The sequence below is a fragment of the Homo sapiens genome, chromosome 22, assembly GCF_000001405.40.
Source record: "Homo sapiens chromosome 22, GRCh38.p14 Primary Assembly".
NCBI lineage: Eukaryota > Metazoa > Chordata > Mammalia > Primates > Hominidae > Homo > Homo sapiens.
This window is the reverse complement of record NC_000022.11, coordinates 45,442,914-45,458,610: the sequence shown is the minus strand read 5'-3', so window position 1 is coordinate 45,458,610 and position 15,697 is coordinate 45,442,914. Positions and strand designations below refer to the sequence as shown.

Sequence of the window (15,697 nt, the reverse complement as noted above, 5' to 3'; positions counted from 1 at the left end):
GACACCTGGCCAACATGGTGAAACCTCATCTCTACTAAAAACACAATAATTAGCTGGTGTGATGGTGCATGCCTGTAGTCCCACCTACTCGGGAGGCTGAGGCAGGAGAATCACTTCAACCCAGGAGGTGGAGGTTGCAGTGAGCCGAGATCACGCCACTGCATTCCAGCCTGGGTGACAAAAGCAAAACTCAGTCTCCAAAAAAAAAAGAAGTCTGGGGTCTAAGCTGCCAGTCTGTGGGGCTTTGTCATGGCAGCCCTAGGACGCTGATTACATGTTTCCACCCCAACCCTGGCTTGCCTCCTGTGTTTCCTGCCTCTGTGAAAGAGACTCCCACCCAGCCAGCTGCCCAAGTCAGAAAGCGGCTTGAGATTCATGCTGCCTCCTCCTCTCTCACCACCACCATCCGTGTTCCTCAGGACCTGTCATCCCAGTGCACACAGCCAGGTAGGGCACCAATGGGCCATCATTTCAAGGCAACGGGGGGCCCGCATGTGGGTGCCGCCCAGACATTACTACAAAGCCCCAATAGTGTGGGGCTGTAGGATGGAGAAAATGCCCTAGGAATTTGGGCATGAGGCCTGGCCAACATGGCTTACTCCAGGCCCTTTTATAGCCATGCAAACCATTATGCTGCAATTTCTGAGTAAGGTATTTAGTGGTGCAAGAGGTCTGTACTGAGGGCTTCTCTCAATTTGGAAAGCCCTTACCCTGAGCGATCTGAATACCGTCACCATGAATTTGAGCACATCTCCCTTGAGGAGCTGAGAGTCTGAGGACCCATGTTCTCCACGCATGCCTAGCCCGGTGTTTCCTAGGATGCTTTGCTAAGAACACGGCCTCGGGTTCACTGAAATGAGCAGCAATGTCCATAAGATTTCTACGTCTGTTTGCTTTCTCCCCAGGCCTCTGCGAGACTGTTTCATAGATGCTCAAGACACCAGCAAACCAGTGCCACCGAACAAGTATGAGAAAAGAACAGGCTAGATTATGTTATCCAGAACTTCACAACCATCAGATCTAGACAGAAGGTATTTTGGTTTCAGCAAATATTAAGTGTGGTTTAGATCATCCCTGAGGAGCCTAACATGGGTGCCATGGGGATCGGGTGGGGGCACACTCATTGAACAAGGCTGGCCTGGGCTGGGGGTTAGCAGAAGGGCAGGGCCCTTCCCAAGCACTAAGCAGTTAGCCCGGGCCAGCCTGCAGGATGCCTAGGGCACAAGACCCCTACAGTGGCCTGGCACCTGTCCTCCCAGGACCCACTGTCGATTGCAGGAGGTGGACAGTGAACACAGAAAAGCTGTAAGGTGTCCTGTGACAGATGTATGTGGTGGACACAGCAGGACCCAGAGGAAGGAAGAAAGAAGCTGCTCTTGAAAAGACCCTCAAACCACGATGCTCAAGGAAGTGTCGAGAGATGAAGGAGAGGTGTTTGCCAGGCAGAGCAGGTGGGGAAGGATAATCTGAGGAGGATAGATAGCCAGTGCAAAGGCTCAGAGCACTTTTGGAGTGCTGCCAGACCAGGGTGGGTGCGGGGCCCTGGAGGGGGCGAGGCAGGAACCTGACCGAGGGGGCTTTGGAGGTCATGTCCATCTTCTGTGATGTTACAGTGAGGGCTGCCCAGAAGGGTTCAGGAGAGTCACGTGGTGGAGTTTGTCACATAAAATAACCCTGGGGCCCGGTGTGGTGGCTCATGCCTGTAATCCCAGCAGTTTGAGAGGCTGAAGTGAGAGAATCGCTCGAGCCCAGGAGTTCAAAACCAGCCTGGGCTGGTGGCTGGTAGTGAGACAGCACCTCTATAAAAAATACAAAAATTAGCTGGGTATGATGGTGTACACCTGTGGTCCAAGCTACTCAGGAGGCTGACGTCGGAAGATTGCTTGAAACTGGGAAACTGAGGCTGCAGTGAGCTGTGATCGCACCACTGCACTCTAGGCTGGAGTGCAATGGTGCGATCTCGGCTCACGGCAACCACCGCCTCCTGGGTTCAAACAATTCTCCTGCCTCAGCCTCCCAAGTAGCTGGGATTACAGGCACCCACCACCACGACCAGCTAATTTTTGTATGTTTAGTAGAGATGGGGTTTCACCATGTCAGCCAGGCTGGTCTCAAACTCCTGGCCTCATGATCCGCCCGCCCAGCTCTGTGTGACTGGGACGGAGTGAGATCCTGTCTGAAAAAAAAACCCCAAAAAAAGCTTTGGCCCATGGTTCCTGTATTCTGAAATGACAACCTCAGCTTCCTCATCTGTTTGTTTGTTTGTTTGTTTGTTTGTTTTTTGAGATACAGTCTTACCGAGTTGCCCAGGCTGGAGTGCGGTAGTGTGATCTTGGCTTACCACAACCTCTGCCTCCTGGGTTCAAGCGATTCTCCTGCCCTAGCCTCCTGAAGTAGTTGGGATTACAGGTGCATGCCACCATGCCTAGCTAATTTTTCTTGTATTTTTTTTTTTAGTAGAGACAAGTTTTCGCCATGTTGGTCAGGCTGGTCTCAAACTCCTAACCTCACGTAATCCACCCGCCTCAGCCTCCCAAAATGCTGGGATTATAGGTGTGAGCCACCGCGCCCGACCAGCTTCCTCATCTGTGAAATGGCAATAGTAATAGAACCTACCTCATATGACGGTTGTGCAGATTAAATGAGTTAATATAACTAAAAGTGTTTAGAATGGTGTCTGCACGCACTTCCCTCAATATGATCCATATGACCCATTTTCTTGTGACCCTGTGGTTGTAAGTTGTTGGGATAAAGGCTGTGCCCTGGATGTCACCCACTGGAAGCTGGCCTAGCCATGTGTCTGGACAAGGGACCACACCCACCCAGAGAGCCCTGCATGGGGGCGGGGGTGGTTTTTCCTAATTCATACCTAAAATACCTAAAATGCTGGGGCCTCTGGGAGCAATAAAGAAGGCCTCACTTGTCACCTTCATCTTGGGGAGAGGTCTGAAAGCTAAAAGCTGACTTCTCGGGTAGTGCTGATGGAGGGTGGTGTATTCGGAGGGAGGTCTGACCCCCTCGAGTCCCTAGGTCAGGGCCCCTTTGATGGAACACGCTTCAGGCAGGATCAATTAGTCACACGCCAGTGGAATTCTAAGTTAAAATAAAATCTGCCGAACCTCAGAAGTGGATGTCCCAAGTATGTCTCACTTCCAGCTCTGACCTGAGTGCCACACCAAGGGCGGCTGTTTAGCATCATGTTGGACACAGATGAGAGTCAAGCAAATCTGGATTCCGATCTCCAACTCCCCGAGCCCCCGTGGCTGTGGAATTGAAGTGGCGTGACCTCCCTAGGGCACAGCGTTCTCTCTGTAACGTGGTATGAGGATCACAGTTCCCACAACGCAGCGGACAAGAGCCTGAACTTAGCGAATGTGTGTAGGGCAACCAGCAGTGCCTGGCACAGAGCAGGTGCCCATAAATACCAGCGACCAGCTCTCCGAGGTGGGGGAAACATGCACACATATTTTCCACTGACACCTAAATTAGGTTAGATGGCCGTGATCTGGCCAGAGATTTATTTTAATTAGCAAGCGGCAGGAAAACTTGATTCATGGATGTGAGTGTTTGATGATTTCTCCAGGTGGTAGGAAAAAAATGTTAAATGACAAAAACAAACTGAGAAACATTCTTGAGGGGGACAAAAAGAGAGAGAGGCCTGCTAATAGCACTGCCTAAATATAGCGAAGTGTATTTCTGTAGACGGCAAAAATGGTACCCAAGCCCTGGAAGAAAATACTGCTTCTTCCCAAATTTCCACCTGGCTCTTTCTTGAATCCAGGTGGCCAGCAATGGCTGGAAGCATTGGCTGGAGGAGTGTCAGCCCTGTAAACCTGTTGCTGGACTTAGCCTGGTGCAGAAGGACAAGGGTTAATAATATCCCAACCCTTCCCGGCTGCACGATCTTGCTGTTTCTCACCTCCACTTTTTTAGCCTGCATTTTAAAAAGGAAACACAGCTCCAAAAAGGGCCCTCAGAGGCTGAATTTGGTCAAAGAGCTTTGCAAACAAGCTCCAGGTCCTGAGCCCCACAAACCTCTAATTGGGAACAGGTTAGTAGAGACGCCAGTAGGGAGTCAACCATGTGGTCTCTGACACCCTCCCCACCAAGTTCTTTCTTTCTGATTTCAACATAAACCATAACAAACACCATGCAGAACCAATTACGTGCACCCAGGGCCCAGGAGGCAGTGACTGCAGTCAGAATGGCTGGAAGTGGCCCCTTTAGGATGGGCTCCTCTGTGGGGAGGTGGGGACAGGGTACTCCACTGTCACTTCCGTGACGCTCTTGTACCCAAAGCCCATGCCTGCCTTCCCAAAGGAAAACCACACATTGATTTATGATGGATTCACCAAAACGTTTGACCATTCTGTGGGTGTTCAGTGAATCTTTTTGACCACGGAGCTGACTGCTCATAGGACCAGCCATTTGGAAAGGACAGATGGATCCATTTATATCAACTGGATTGAGGGGTGAGGACTTCCCCTCCCAGATATCAATTTACAGCTGCCCAAGAGCCTTTAGTGTTGGGATCCAAAAGAGGTGCTGGTCCCGGGCAAGGCAGGGTCCTGAAGCGGTGGGGGCTGTTGACTGTCTTATTAGGGAAGGCACCCGTCACTCTTTCCTCAGACATCTGCTGAGTACTGACTGTTCTGAGTTTGCCCCACATTCTGTGCAATACAGCTCTTGGTTTTTGTTGTTGTTACTGTTGTTTGTTATTTTTGAGACAGAGTCTTGCTCCGTCACCCAGGCTAGGACTGGAGCACAGTGGCGCGGTCTCAGCTCACTGCAACCTCCACCTCCCAGTTTCAAATGATTCTCCTGCCTCAGCCTCCTGAGTATCTGGGATTACAGGCATGGCGTGCGCCACCATACACAGCTAATTTTTGTATTTTTGTTAGAGACGGGGTTTCGTGATGTTGGCCAGGCTGGTCTCGAACTCCTGACCTCAAGTGATCCACCCACCCTCCTTGGCCTCCCAAAGTGCTGGGATTACAGGTGTGAGCCACCTCATCCGGCCTCAATACGGTTCTTTAGACTCTGTGCACCCACTGATCATAGGCTTGGAGGGTGGCTGGCTCAGGTCTGTGCTCTAGCAGGAAGAAGGGGGTGAAAGAGAATGTGCCACAGGAAGGGGCTTTGCTGGATCTTGGGGCCAGGGTAGCCCAGCACCATGCATCACAGTGGGCTTTCTGGAGTGAGACCACCTGGGTCCAGATCCTCACTGACTGGGTGACTTTGCACAGGTGGCTTAGCCCACGACAGCCTCAATTTCTCATCTGCAAATGGGAGTAATCAGAGCATGGAGCTCACAGATTGTTGCCAGCGTGACATGAAGTCATCCAAATAAAATGCTGAGAACATGATAGGGGCCCAGCAGGCATTAGCCATGATTACTGTTGTACTAGAGATGCCCCCATCATTGACAAAACCACATCGAGCTCTTGTTAGCTCTGCCCTTTGGGTGTCTCAGGGCAGACTGGGAGGGGAGTTATGTTAGAGAAATGGGGACTGTTCATTCACTGAGCAAATATTTATTTCCTTGAGGCCCTCTAAAAAGCAAAATGAATCAAATGCACATAAATCTGTTATTAATCAGAAACTCTCAGGCTGCAACAGGAAGGCCTCCCAGCACTGTGGAGATGCTGGCCCAGGCCTAAGAAGCAGTTCTAGCTGAGGGATGGTGGGGCCCAGGGTGGTCTCTGTCCTTCAGCCTGATTCCCAAGTGCAAAGCCCAAGCCACAGGCTAAGATTTGGAAAGGGGTATAGGTGAGCTTGTGGCCTTCAGCCGGATTGCACGAAAGCCCAGCACCACCCATTCCCTGTCCTGCTAATGCTCTGCCATCACCCCCAGCCCACGGGCATGGATCCAGCTCTTGGCCCGCCTTCCAAGGTGCTTCTCAAGCTGGCTCTGCCCCTGTCTGGCCCCTCCCCTTTCAGTCATTCTCAACGACCCATCCTCAGAGCCCCTCACTGCAGGGACTGCCTCTGGGTCATCTCTATGTCCTGGGCCCTGCCCAGCACAGGTACCAGATCCTGCCACCAGACCCTCAGTTCCATTGTTCAGGACATAGTGGACAGAAGGAAGGGGGACCATCTGCACCCTGAGTGTCCTGGTCTCAGGGCAGTTCCTGGAAGTTCCCTACCGCCTTTTCCTAAATCCTAGATCTGAGTTTCTATGGATGTCATTTATGTTTTCATGTGAAGGTGGAGTTCAAGTGGAGAAAACTGATGCATTCAGGTTCCAATTTAGTTCTCAAGAAGAGCCATGGCCAAGTGGGAGCTGGGTTTTTCCAAAGATTACTTTGGCTGGAGGTGAGATTGGAGGAGTGGGAGGCCGACTGCTGGCGGCTGGCAAGAGGAGGCTGAAGCAATGGCCCAAGCTCTGCAGGAGGACCCTAAACCAGGACCGGTGCCAAGGGGGAGCCAAGTGAGAGAGAGAAGGGCCAGGATTTGATTGATGTGGGGGCAGCACGGTGGGGAGGATCAGGAATGGTTCCCAGGTTTCTCTCCCAGGGCCAGGTGGTGTCTTTCATCAATGTGGAGTCTGCAGGTTTGGGGGAAATGATGAGTTCATTTTGGACGTGCCTGTGGTGAAGCTTTCTAGCAGCAGAAAAAGAAGGAACTGGACGGGCACAGTGGCTCATGCCTGTAATGCCAGCACTTTGGGAGGCCGAGGTGGGTGGATCACCTGAGGACAGGAGTTCGAGACCAGCCTGACCAATATGCTGAAACCCCATCTCTATTTAAAAAATACAAAAAATAGCCAGGCGTGGTGGCATGCACCTGTAGTCCCAGCTACTCAGGAGGCTGAGACAGGAGAATTGCTTGAACCTGGGAGGCGGAGGCTGTAGTGAGCTGAGAACGCGCCACCGCACTCAGCCTGGGCAACAGAGTGAGACTCTGTCTCAAAAAAATAAGAAAGAATTTAGAGGGGAGATGGGAACTGGAGGTTTAATTTGAGCTATGGGATATTTACTACTGACCAGTGGACCCCTTCGCCCAGGGTGCTCCATCCCAGGCTTCCTGATGCCCGGAGAGAGGAGCAGGCAGGAGCCTTGAGTGTTGCAACATCCTGAGTGATTTATAGGGAAAATGTCCCTTGTGTTTGTTTCTCAGCACTGCCTTCCAAGAGGGAATCTAAAACCCCACATTCTGATCCTAAGTGTAATTTCCAGTCATTTCCACCGACAACATTTGGTTCTTATTATCAAAAGATACTCACACAGATGTAGCATTAAAATCTTGGCTTCCACAGATCAAGAAAACAAGATAATCTGAAGTATTGCAGCAGCCCTCAGACATTTACAATTCCAAGAAATGGTTGTTGGAGAACTCTTCTAGAATATCCATTTCCCAATGTGTTTCTGGGTGGAAGAAAGCCAGCCACTTGGTCAATTTCAGGGTGTTCATCTGAACTTTCCACCAGGAAGGCAGAACAGCCTCAAAGGGTGAACCCCTTAGGGATGAGGACCCGGGATCATTTCCTGGGGCTTCCCCAGGCCCCTTACCTCGGGGCACACAGACGGTGCTCAGTGACGGTTCGTTGGCTGTGAAAAGAAACAGGCAAATGCCACAAGCCAGCACATGCGAGGTCTTCCCATTTGACATCTCTTTCTGCAGGTTCCGAGGGCTGGTGACGGGAGAGGTGTGGCTTCTCTGACACAGAAGTGGAAAAATATACGAAACTCATGTTTGGAACTTTAATGGAGAACTTTTATCCTTCTCCCTGTTAAATTCTGTTTTAGTGATTCTGGATCCTTCCAAATAACATCCCCGGCATGGCATTCTCCACTCACAGGCCTTACATATTCCCAGAGTGTATCGTTACGTAGTAATTTATTAAGTCCATCCTATGCATCAAGTACTTTAATGAAGTATCTCATTTAATTCTCAGAATAATACTGGGACAACCATATGTGGATCATCCTCATTTTACAGATGTGGAAACATAGACTTAGGAAACGTAGGTCATTTTTCCAAGAGAACACGGCCAGTGAGAGGCAAAGCTGGTATGTGGGCCCAGAGAAGGTGACCCACGCCCCATGACGCACTGTTCCTGAGTCCCTGTGAGCACCAGCAGTGCCCAGGCTGGGTGGAAGGGGCCTTCTTGTACATTCGCCTACTTCCTCCTCTTGGGGATCCTGAGAGGTAGGTTGGTGTTATGATCCCCATTTTACAGCTGGGGAAACAGACTCACAGAGGTAAAGCGACTTGTCTGAAGTCACACGAAGCAGAGGGGCCAGAACCCGGGTCTGAGGGACACCAGCAGGGTCCTTTGTCTCCCCCAGAGCCCCAGGACTTCACCCCTCCTCTGCAGCCTCCGCCTCCACCATTGCTCAGGATGAAACAGGCTCCTTCAGAGCCCACCGGGGCACGGAGGCTGAGAGGTAATGGCTTAGCCCGAGAAACCCCCAAGAGGGCTGGCACGGTGGCTCACGCCTGTAATCCCAGCATTCTGGGAGACTGATGCAGGCAGATCTCTTGAGCCCAGGAGTTCAAGACCAACCTGGGCAATCTGGTGAGAACCGGTCTCTGCAAAAATACAAAAATTAGCCAAGTGTGGTGGTGCGCAACTGTAGACCCAGCTACTTGGGAGGCTGAGGTGGGAGGATTGCTGGAGCCCAGGAGGTGGAGACTGCTGTGAGCCAAGATCAAGATTGCACCACTGCACTCTAGCCTGGGTGGCAGAGCGAGACTCTACATCAAAAATAAATAAATAGGGCCAGGTGCAGCAGCTCACGCCTGTCATCCTAGCACTTTGGAAGGCCAAGGCAGGAGTATCACTTGAGGTCAGGAGTTCGAGACTAGCCTGGCCAACATGGTGAAACCCCATCTCTACTAAAATATAAAAATTAGCCAGGCGTGGTGGCACATGCCTGTAGTCCCAGCTACTCAGGAGGCTGAGGCAAAAGAATTGCTTGAACCTGAAAGGCAGAGGTTGCAGTGAGTCAAGATTGCGCCACTGTATTCCAGCCTAGGCAACAGAGTGAGACTCTGTCTTAGAAAATAATAATAAATACATACATACATACATACATAAATAGGCTAGGTGCAATGGCTCACACCTGTAATCCCAACACTTTGGGAGGACGAGGCAGGTGGATCACTTGAGGCCAGGAGTTCGAGACCAGCCTGGCCAACATGGCAAAACACTATCTCTACTAAAAATACAAAAATTACCGGGCATGGTGGTGCCCATAATCCCAGCTACTCGAGAGGCTGAGGCACAAGAATCACTTGAACCTGGGAGTTAGCCGAGATCATGCCACTGCACTCCCAACCTGGGAGACAGAGCAAGACTCTGTCTCAAAAAAAAAAAAAAAAAATAGAGGCCGGGTGCGGTGGCTCACGCCTGTAATCCCAGCACTTTGGGAGGCCGAGGCGGGCGGATCACAAGGTCAGGAGATCGAGACCATCCTGGCGAATACGGTGAAACCCCGTCTCCACTAAAAAATACAAAAAAAATCAGCTGGGCATGGTGGCGGGTGCCTGTAGTCCCAGCTCCTTGGGAGGCTGAGGCAGGAGAATGGCATGAACCTGGGAGGCAGAGCTTGCAGCGAGCCGAGATCGCGCCACTGCACTCAAGCCTGGGTGACAAAGTGAGACTCCGTCTCAAAAAAAAATAATAATAATTAATAAAGAACCCCCTCAGGAGGTTCCAGGGGCCTCAGTGCAATTGTGACTGCACCAGGTGTGACTTGGGAACCCTGGCGAGGAGGCAAGAGAGCGGGAGCCTGTGCAGCTAATTCCACAGGAAGGGAGACCACCCAGATCCAGAGGCCGAGGCCTTCCTCCTGACAGCTCCCTGGCCATTCATCTTGTGCACATGGCTACATAAAAGGAGTCGAGAGATCGAGTCCATTCTTTCCCTCCTCTGGGGCTTGCTTGCAAGGCGGGGTTGGGTCAAGGTTGGGGCAGCCTCTCTCTTCCTCCCTGCTTGGTGCCTCAGTGACCAGCCAGCTCCCTGCCCCACCCAGCTGGCCCCAGGCCACCGGCCGGGCCTGGGACTCAACTTGCCAACTTACAGCCTGAGGGAGGGCTGGGCTCTTCAAAAACAGCCTCAAATCATCCAGGCCGCTGACAGCCACAGGGCAAGCGCCCAGAGCCCATTCTTTCTGTCTGGCCTCCATCTCATCCGGCTATCCCAGGATCCCAGGAGTGGCTGTTGATGGAGCCCTTCCCATGGACTGGGCCTTTGCACACACATTGCACCAAATTCTCACAGCAGCCGAGCCAGGTAAGCCGGGTGATCTCCAATTTACAGATGGAGGGCAGGAGTCTGAAGTGGGCTTTGTGGCCACGCAGCCTGGATTCCCATCCAGCTCAGGACTACATGGTCTTGAGCAAGTCTCTTCACCTACCTGAGCCTCGTTTTATTCAACTCATCAGCAAAATGGGTGTAATTCAGGGTTCCTTTTTTTTTAATATTTGAAAAAAAAATTTTTGTTTTTTTTAGATGGAGTCTCACTCTGTCGCCCAGGTGAGAGGGCAGTAGTAGTGCAATCTTGGCTCACTGCAACATCTGCCTCCCAGGTTCAAGCGATTCTCCTGCCTCAGCCTCCCCAGTAGCTGGGAGTACAGGCACATGCCACCACAGCCGGCTATATTTTGTATTTTTTAGTAGAGATGGGATTTCACCATATTGGCCAGGCTGGTCTCAAACTCCTGACCTCAGGTGATCTCAGCACCTCGGCCTCCAAAGTGCGGAGATTACAAGCATGAGCCACTGCACCTGGCTAATTTTTCTATTTTAGTAGAGACAGGGTTTCACCATGTTGGCCAGGCTGGTCTTGAACTTCTGATCTTGTGATCTTCCCACCTCAGCCTCCCAAATTGCTGGGATTACAGGCATGAGCCACCATGCCTGGCTTGACAAAAATTTTTTTAAGTGTTGGAATTACAGGCATGAACCACCGCCCCGGCCAATACAGGATTTCTTGAGTTGAGTCCACAGATTCCCAAGAGATCCATGGAGAAGCTGGAGGAGAAGGGAACCCATGAAATAGAATGGGGGAAACTTGCTTCTTTTTTTTTTTTTTTTTTTTTTTTTTTTTTTTTTTTTTGAGACAGAGTCTTGCTCTGTCTCCCAGGCTGGAATGCAGTGGCCTGATCTCGGCTCACTACAACCTCCGCCTCCCGGGTTCAAGCGATTCTCCTGCCTCAGCCTCCTGAGTAGCTGGGACTACAGGCATCCACCACCACGCCTGGCTAATTTTTTTTTTTTGTATTTTTAGTAGAGACAGGGTTTCACCATATTGGCCAGGCTGGTCTCGAACTCCTGACGTTGTAATCCGCGTGAGCCACCGCACCCGGCCAGTGGAAACTTGCTCCTTTATTCCAACCAGCCCGTCCCCGAATGCAGTACTTCTTCCCATGATGAAGGTACAGAACATTCCAGGGGAAGATTAGCAGCACCTGTGACTATTTCCTCACTAAATAATGGCCAGCTGTACTTCAAAATTAGGGTAGTTATTAGACTTATCACTGGATCTTTATTTATTTTTTTTTTGAGACAGAGTCTCACTCTGTCACCCAGGCTGGAGTGCAGTGGTACAATCTCGGTTCACTGCAACCTGTGATCCCCGGGTTCAAGAGATTCTCCTGCCTCAGCCTCCCAAGTAGCTGGGATTATAGGCGCGCATCACCACGTCTGGCTAAATTTTTTTTTCTTTTGTATTTTAGGAGAGACAGGGTTTCACCGTGTTGCCCAAGGTGGTCTCTAACTCCTGACCTCAGGCAATCCACCTGCATCGGCCTCCCAAAGTACTAGGGTTACATGCGTGAGCCACTGCGCCCGGCCCTGGATCTTGTTTAATGCATCCATGTGTCAATGTCCTTCCTAAAATATGTGTCCCAGAAGAAGAAACAAGGCCACAGGTGCAGTCTATTTCCGCTCCTCACTTCCACCAGGTCTCTCTGTCCTTACAGCCCTGCCCCACCTGATTGGTTAAACCATCTGCTGCCTGGTGTCTCCTCCACTGGACGACCAGGACCGAAGGGGCTGGAGAAGGATTAACTCCAATGTCCAGTGCCTGTCCCTGCTTGGTGAGCTCAGCCCAAGAGATCCTTTTGAAATAAGACATCCATTTTTGTAACCACAACTCTATTTAAATAATTGCCAAGTCCAAAAACCTTGAATCATCCTTGACCCATGTTCACACCCCACGTCTGATCTGTTGGCAGGTTTCTTTGCTACATCTTTACATTTGTGCAGTAGTGAATCACTTCTCACCATCTCTGCTGCCCATCCGGGTCTGAGCCACTGCTGTCTCCTACCTGGATAATTACCACGGCCCTGTCCTCTCTGGTCTCTTTCATCCATCCTTGCCTTCTTACACTCTCGTCTCATCCCAGAAGCCAGACAGGTCATTCCAGCATGGAAGTCCAATCACTCTTTGCTCAAAACCCTCCAAAGGTGTCAATCTTTTTTCCTTTTTCTTTTTTGAAGCAGAGTCTCACTCTGTTGCCTCGGCTGGAGTGCAGTGGCGCGTGTCGGCTCACTGCAACCTCCACCTCCCGGGTTCAAGCGATTCTCCTGCCTCAGCCTCCTGAGTAGCTGGGGCTACAGGCGCCCACCACCATGTCCGGCTAATTTTTGTATTTTTAGTAGAGATGGGGTTTCGCCATGTTGGCCAGGCTGGTCTCGAACTCCTGACCTCGTGATCTGCCTGCCTCGGCCTCCCAAAGTGCTGAGATTCCAGGCATGAGCCGCCGTGCATAGCCAGGACTTCTTCATTGCTGCAGAAGCCCAGGATCAGAACTTTGGGAATATTGTTGTGGGCTCTTGATAAACACACATTTTACACGTTCATTTGGTTTTTTTTGTTTTTTAAGACAGGTTCTCGCTCTGTTGCCCAGGTTGGAGTGCAGTGGTGCCGTCACAGCTCACGGCAGCCTTGACTTCCAGAGCATGAGTTCTCTGCAGCAGAAGCCATGTCCTCTCACCTCTGAACCCAGGGAAGAGAGGGATGCAGCACTAATGCATTGCTTAGAAGTGCTGCACTATGAGCATGAGGTTGGGTGTGATTCAGGCCATGTTGTTCCGGCCTCTTGACATGGCCTGTCCACCGCCGGGAGGTGGTGCCACTTTCCTGGCGTCCAGGCTTGGCTGATCACGCTCTCCGACAGCCTGGGCCATGATTCGGGTGCCACTGTGGGGTCACGCTGCCTGTGCCCCCTAGGGCTCACAGAGATACTAGCCTTTGGATTCCAGTGCCCTCCCCCAGACCTCCAACAGACCCCACAGAGCTGAGCCCCAGCTCTCTTCATTATCAGTCACTCCATTATAACTAGGACACGTACGTCTGTGTGCCTGGACTGTCACTGCCCCTAGGATGAGATTTTCCAGGCAGCAACTCCATCATCACACAAAGAGGTCTCTGGAGGATCCACATTCCTTGCTGTCTAGACCTGTCCTGAGTATGCCTGAACCCTGGGTGTTCAGGTTCAGGCTGTGAAACTCACGCCCACAGTTCACCAATTCATGCAACAAATATGGCATGATCTCGGCTCACGGCAACCTCTGTCTCCCAGGTTCAAGCAATTCTCCTGGCTCAGCCTCCCGAGTAGTTGGGATTACAGGTGCCAGCCACCATGCCCACCTAATTTTTTTTTTTTTTTGTATTTTTAGTAGAGATGGGGTTTCACTATGTTGGCCAGGCTGGTCTCGAACTCCTGACCTCAGATGATCCACCCACCTCGGCCTCCCAAAGTGTTGGGATTACAGGCGTGAGCCACCGTGGCTGGCCAGATTTGTTTTATATTTTGAAGTCTTACCAACAGGATTTGCTGATAGATTGAGAGAGAGAGAGCCCAACGATGGATCCAAACTCTCTGGCCTGAGCAATTGGAAGCATTGGGGTTTCCATAGCCTAAGACAGGGAAGACTTTGGAGGGACAGGTGTGGGTAGAGGGAAACCAGTTCTGTTCAGATGCCTTCATGTTGACTGCCTGCTTGTTAGACATCCCAGTAAAGCTATCAAGTCGACATTTGGGTACCAAGCCTGGAACTCACAGCAGAGGTCAAGCTAGAGAAATACACTAGAGTGTTGTCACCTGTCTTCCCCTCCTGGAGCTCTGCTGACTGTCTCCTTGCAGGCATTCTGTCAGAGGTAGCTGGGACTTTAGAACTGGGCACAATTCCTGGCTCCATCTTGAACTGGCTCTGGGACCTTGGGAAAGTGAGTTCCCCTCTCTAGCCCTTAGTTCTTGTGAAAGGAAAATCGCAGGACTCCAAAATCGCAAAGTCAAGGGGAAAAGTCAAGCTGGGAACTGCATCACGCAAACTTGCCTCCCATTTTCTTCCTAGATAAGATAGCTACAAAGATAAACAAGCTGCATACCTCCCTCCCAATTTGCCCACAAGGAAATTCCTTGTGGGCCTCAGGATCTTTACCCTAAAACAGTTCTGTTGAATTTCACCCTGGCAATGTAAATTGATAGCTTATCTTCACAGATGTGGGACAAAGGACAGAACTCACCATCAGGCCTCTGCCCACCTGAGACAAATGCATATATGATTGCTTGATTGCTTCCTCTGCCCTATTGTTTATGTGAAAATGCAGATTCACTGAGCCAGACTAGGGCACACAGGACTACTCCTCTACCCTCTGCTCACATGGAAATTGTGTATTCAGTGAAAGGCTGATCAAAGACTCAAAAGGATGCACCCATTTATCTTTTATATGCCTATGACCTGGAAATCCCTGCTTCCAGTTGTCCTGCGTTTCCAAACTGAAGCAATGTACATCTTACACATATTGATTCATGCCTCATGTCTCCCAAAAATGTGTAAAAGCAAGCTATACCACAACCTCCTTGGGCACATGTCAGCAGGACCTCCTGAGGCTGTGTCACAGACACGTCCTTAACCTTGGCAAAATAAACTTTCTTTCCTTTTTTTTTTTTTTGGGAGACAGAGTTTCGCTCTTGTTGCCCAGGCTGGAGTGCAGTGGCATGATCTTGGCTCACTGCAACCTCTGCCTCCCAGGTTCAAGTGATTCTCCTGCCTCAGCCTCCCAAGTAGCTGGGACTACAGGCACCTGCCACCATGCCCAGCTAATTTTGTCTTTTTAGTAGAGACGAGGTTTCACCATGTTGGCCAGGCTGGTCTTGAACTCGTAACCTCAGGTGATCTGCCTGCCTCAGCCTCCCAAAGTGCTGGGATTACAGGCACGAGCCACCAAGCCCAGGTACAAAATAAACTTTCTAAATGGATTGAGACTTGTCTTAGGTACTTTGTGTTCACATTCCTCATCCTCATTGGGGATATGAAACTGGTAACACTTCTTGTAGCCTCCTGCAGGTTTTTTTTTTTTTTTTTTTTTGAGACGGAGTTTTGCTCTTGTTGCCCAGGCTGGAGTGCAAAGGTGCAATCTCAGCTTACCGCAACCTCCGCCTCCTGGGTTCAAGCAATTCTCCTGCCTCAGCCTCCCGAGTAGCTGGAATTACAGGCATGCTCCACTACACCTGGCTAATTTTGTATTTTTAGTAGAGATGGGGTTTCTCTATGTTGGTCAGGCTGGTCTCGAACTCCTGACCTCAGGTGATCTACCCGCCTCGGCCTCCCAAAAGTGCTGGGATCACAGGCGTGAGCCATCGCACCCGGCAGCCTCCTGCAGATTTTAAGAAGCTCAGCTCTGTGGCATCAGCACACACGGGCTCAGCAAGCAGCAGCCATGTACACCATCAGCAT

The 15,697-nt window shown here is 50.8% G+C and overlaps 1 long non-coding RNA gene across 1 annotated transcript; it reads left to right on the top strand.

The window, feature by feature from the left end:
• Positions 1–259: 259 nt before the first annotated feature.
• On the top strand, positions 260–1,529 carry LOC107985537 (uncharacterized). Its single transcript, XR_001755613.2, has 3 exons — positions 260–447; positions 906–1,031; positions 1,279–1,529. It is a non-coding gene; the product is annotated as an uncharacterized LOC107985537 (long non-coding RNA).